We start from the raw sequence: 5771 nt of genomic DNA, 5'->3' as shown, positions 1-5771 counted from the left end.
CCTTCTCAAGGAATTTTGTGGGTTTTCACAGATCCTTTCCTCTTCCCTTTTCATTGTAAACCGTCCTGAAACAAATTATTATTAATAAATTATATTTCTATAACACCTTTCTTCTGCCAGGGCTCCCGGGTGGCAATACATACAGAAATAAAAACGTAAATAAAAGTATTTCTTATACCTCTTAACTCTGCCTGTTGTCCAAAGCAGCCACTATTAATCCCAAGAATTTCAGAAGTATTTTGAAGTAAGTTCCATAAAATCCTCCAATCTTGGAGGATGGCAGTCTGTTAGGATGATGTATTTGTAAGCTAAAGAGCTTTACACTTTAAAAACAACCAAGATACACATAAAATCTGACTATTTTGATAGAGCTTTAGAAGAAAGTTAAAATTATGTCTTATGTATTTTTGGGGAAAAATTTATAAATATATACATATGTTAACTAAGAAAATTACGGACTTGGTTTAAGTAACTAGTCATTATAAAATTCAGAGTGCTAAGACTAGATTATAATTTTAGTCAAAGAGTATTATTACCATAAGTTTTTGATAAAGATTGAATAACTGTGATGAAAATGGTAGGGGTCAATCCCATTACTGGGTATATACCTAAAGGATTATAAATCATTCTCTAAAGACACAGGCACATATGTGTTTATTGCAGCACTATTTACAATAGCAAAGATTTGGAGCCAACCCAAATGCCCATCACTGATAAATTGGATAAAGAAAATGTGTCACATATATACCATGGAATACTATGCAGCCATAAAAAAGAATGAGTTCATGTCCTTTGCAGGAACATGGATGAAGCTGGAAACCATAATTCTCAGCAAACTAACACAGGAATGGAAAACCAAACACCGCATGTTCTCACTCATAAGTGGGAGTTGAACAGTGAGAACACATGGACACAGGGAGGGGAACATGACACACTGGGGCCTGTCGAGGGGTGGGGGAAGCAAGGGGAGGGATAGCATTAGGAGAAATACCTAACACATGTGGGGTTTAAAACACAGATGATGGGTGCAGCGAGCCACCATGGCACATGTATACCTATGTAACCTGCATGTTCTGCACATGTATCCCAGAACTTAAAGTATAATAAAAAAAGAAAATGGCTAGGGTTAGTGCCTCTAGCAATTTTTAAATACTTATCTTAATCCTCAATGCAAAAAGCTAAGAACTTGGAAATGACATAAAAACAAAATACACAAGATATAGCACAAAGTGTAGTGTGGGTGAAGGTAGTTAGAATATATGGAATTATGTCAAAGACATGAATATTTGATATACAGATATAAGCTTTCCATAGAGTACAATTAAACTATTAGGACTCCATAAACATAAAAATGTGCTGTTTCTTTTTCCTTAGACCACTTAGTACGTTTTAAATAAACTCGCTTTTCTTTTTAACCTTGCACATTAGACATAAGAAACTGTCATGTCTGCATTACTTGGATTATAAACATGAACCAAAGTCTGAGGCAGGCACTTTGCACAGATTCTTTAGAAGTGATTGTTCTCGCTGGAGATTACCCAGAGTTTAGACGTTTCCCTGATTTGAGTCACTCTGGGATTTAGGCTGTAGCTCACAGTAACTGAGTCCTCTGAGGTCACTTGTTATACCTGATACCTTTTAAAAAGTCAATATTTAGGACCACAGGTTTAGAAGAACCACAGTTTGCCTGAAACCAGTTGATGATAATGTTTGTTTGTTTTCAGAGAATCCTTCACACTGACATCATTCTCAAAATCAGCAGGGCAATGATGAAGTGGTTAATCATTTGTTCTTTAACCTTACAATATCTGGACCTATCATTAATCATCAGTGTCTGTGGGTGTGCTTGCATTTTTTTGGATTTGTGAGTTATCAAAAAAAGAAAATGTAACTAGTGAATAATGATTAACAGAAAGTATATGGAGAAATATTGGTGCTGTCAGTTCATTGCTTTGTGCTTAATTTTTGCTAGTATTCATTACTACAGAGGAAACTTTGAATGATTTCATGTCAACACTGTGACAAACAGTTCAATCCTTCAGAAATATTCATAAAATACTTGCAGCTATTAAAGTCTCACTGTGGCATACAATGGTAAATGGTCTTTCTCTATTGGTCTGTGTGTGTGCCTATGTTTAAACTTGTGAATATATCCCATCGACTGAAGAATATTTTATGTGCAAGTATTTCAAGGTCCTGGGTGAATTTCTTTCTAACTGTATATTTCCACACAGTTTAAAAATTATGTAGATTACATCTCTAAGCCTGACTCTTTTAAGCTTCTTTCAAGTTTGGATTTGTCTCAGTTAAAATTTCAGGGAAAATTTCCAACCTGAAAGGGGTGAATTTCTCCTTATACTTTCCAGCATCAGAGATGAAACCACCTAAGGTTTTCTCTGGTCTTGAGGCCAAATGCCACCCACATAGTGGTCACAGTGAGCAGAATTGCTCTACCACCTTTTTCTCTGCTAAATCTGCAGTTTATCCTCTTCTACAAATTTATATCATGACTTGACTGGTCTTCTCTTTTTTTATTTGCATAAATTTAGAGGGTACAAGTACAGTTTTGTTATGTGGATATATTGTGCAGTGGTGAAGTTTGAGATTTGAGAATAGCCATCATGTGAATAATGTGCAGTGTAACCACTAAGTCATTTCTCATCCCTTATCCCCATTCCACCCTGTACCCTTCTGAGTCTTCAATGTCTATTATTTCACCATGTCCATGTGTACACATCTTTTAGCTCCCACTTATAAGTGAAAATACGTGGTATTTGACTTTCTGTTTCTGAGTTATTTCACTTATGGTATTGGCGTCCAGTTCCATGTTGCTGCAAAAGACATGAATGATTTCATTCTTTTGTTTGCCTGAGTTTCCATGTCTCATATATATGTGATGTGTGTGTGTATATATACATGCATGTAGCATATGTATATTTGTATGGTGTATATATATATATAGTATATAGGTATATATGTTATGTATGTATGTAGATATGTATATATGTATAGCATATAGTATGCATATGTATACTACATATATATGTATGTATGTATACTACATCCATGTGCCATGGAATACTGAGGCAAACCATGGTTTGCCTGAGTAGTGTGTGTGTGTGTGTGTGTGTGTATGTTATGTGTATATGTTATTATATATGTGTATATATGCTACATATACATATATGTAGTGTATACACACATATATGTATATGGTTTGCCTTAGTATTCCATGGCACATAATATATGTATATGGTTTATATATGTATATACACATATATATGTATATGGTTTTCCTGAGTAGTATTCTATGGCACATAAATGTATATATACACACACACATCTGGTGTGTGTTTATACATATATATAAAATATATATGCATGTGTATATAAAATATATATGTGTATATATACTGCATTTTCTTTTATTTATATGTGTGTATGTATATATATGTACACCACATTTATCCAGTCATCTGTTGATGGACACTTAAGTTGATTTCATATCTTTGCTATTATGAATAGTGCTGCTATAAAAGTACGAGTATGGCTGGGCGCAGTGGCTCATGCCCATAATCCCAGCACTTTGGAGGGCCAAGGCGGGCGGGTCACTTGAGATCAGGAGTTCAAGACCAGCCTGGCCAACATGGTGAAACCCCATCCCTACTAAAAAAAAAAAAAAAATACAAAAATTAGCCAGGCGTGGTGGCATGCACCTGTAATCCCAGCTACTTGGGTGGCTGAGGTGGGAGAATCGCTTAGACCTGCAAGGCAGAGATTGCAGTGAGCCCAGATTGCACCACTGTATTGCAGCCTGGGTGACAGATCGAGACTCCGCCTAAAAAAAAAGGACAATTATGGGTATCTGTGATTGCTGGGTAAATCATAGTTCTATTTTTAGTTCTTTGAGAAATTTCCATACTGTTTTCCATAGTGGTTGCACTAAGTTACATTCCCACCAGTAGTGTATAAGTTTTCCTTTTCCTCCTGATCCTTGTCAATATCTGTTTTTTTTTGTTTGTTTGTTTTTTGACCGGAGTCTTGCTCTGTCTCCCAGGCTGGAGTGCAGTGGCGCGATCTCGGCTCACTGCAAGCTCCGCCTCCCGGGTTCACGCTGTTCTCCTGCCTCAGCCTCCTGAGTAGCTGGGACTACAGGTGCCCGCCCCCACGCCCGGCTAATTTTTTTTTTGTATTTTTAGTAGAGATGGGGTTTCACCATGTGTTAGCTAGGATGGTCTCGATTTCCTGACCTCGTGATCCGCCCGCCTCGGCCTCCCAAAGTGCTGAGATTACAGGCATGAGCCACCACGCCCGGCCGGCCATGACTTTTTAATAGTAACTATTCTGACTGGCATAAGATGATATATCATTGTGGTTTCATTTGCATTTATCTGATGATTAGTGATGCTGAGCATTTTTTCATGCACTTGCTGGCCATTTGTAGGTCTTCCTTTGAAAAATGTCTGTTTATGTCCTTTGCCCACTTTTTACTGGGATTATTTGATTGGTCTTTTCAATGACAGTTCTTTACCTGTGAACTGCTAGAATTTGAGCCACACAAGTCCTCGCTCCTGGTAACCGCTATTGTGTCTCTGGTGGACTACCTGATTATACCTCTAGCACGTGGCATTGGCCAATCATTGGGAAAAATACCTGAAATAAAATTCTGCATTAGTCAGATCTGACAATCATAGGAAAGCAATAGCTGTGTTTGTGTGTGTGGATGCGTGTAATCATTGAGTATCTCCTGCAAGTTTCCTTAACAAACATATTCTTTATTATCCTTGAGTGATGTATTTGCTTCTTGAATCTCCAATGCTTTCCTAATTCCTTTATTTTTGAGTATACCATATTTACTACCTGTTTGTTCTACCTAGAGTCTTACAGAATGCTCTCAAGAAATACCTACAACATTCTTTTTTGGATAGAGGAATCAGTATGCAGAGGAGTGACTTAAATTTCATGATTTGAAATAGGGAGGTTTCAGGCTTTTGGCCTATGGTTCACCTTTTAAAACGTTGTTTGATATGTAGGAGACACTCAAATATTTCTTGAATGATTGAACATTGAATTAATCTTTAAGGGTCCAACCAACCTCACACCTTATCATGTACTTTCTGTTTGCTGAACAAACATTTCAGAGGATTTTCACTGTGATATAGTATGGAATTCAAACTTTATCTTCTCAGGCAAGGCTCAAAATAATTTGCATCATATATATTTTCAATGTTATCTTATATCTTTGCAAGAGAGAAAACAATAATACTAATTGTAAATTGTATACTGATTTTGTAGGAATAATATACATACGGTACATTGTTTTTTTAAATTGATGATTTCGGTATTTGAATATCTTATATTAGATATTTGAACACTATCTCTTTTCAGACTACAACATTTAATGTCGAGAGTCAACTGAATGAAATTTCTAATTTTCCTATTCATTCATTTTTAGTCATACAAACCATAATACCATTATGAAGATGTAGTGACTATGTCTGTGAATTACTTTTTTCAAATTAAATTTCTTTGGTAAAAACAGCTAACTGAAATACATTTAGAGTGTTTTTTTCCTGTATTTTTAATTGCTGAAAAGAAAATGTCAAAATGAATGAAACTTTTAATAAAAGATCCCTGTTTAAAATGAATGCATGGTGTCGAATGTCATGATAAAATAGTGAATAAAGGTCAAATCTATAATCACATATATATACATATATGTATGTATGTATATATATACACACTAAATATTGAATGTGTAAACTTCCCAC

The 5771-nt window shown here is 35.7% G+C and overlaps 1 annotated feature.

The window, feature by feature from the left end:
* Positions 4002-4201: a silencer, noted in NCBI's record as "fragment chr5:31018943-31019142 (GRCh37/hg19 assembly coordinates)". NCBI's record gives its function as "represses an EF-1alpha promoter that drives an FKBP-Casp9 reporter gene in an ReSE screen in K562 erythroleukemia cells {active_cell/tissue: K562}" and the evidence as "EXISTENCE:reporter gene assay evidence [ECO:0000049][PMID:32094911]".

The sequence above is a fragment of the Homo sapiens genome, chromosome 5 (assembly GCF_000001405.40).
Source record: "Homo sapiens chromosome 5, GRCh38.p14 Primary Assembly".
NCBI classification, from domain to species: Eukaryota; Metazoa; Chordata; class Mammalia; order Primates; family Hominidae; genus Homo; species Homo sapiens.
This window is presented reverse-complemented; position numbering and strand designations above follow the sequence as displayed.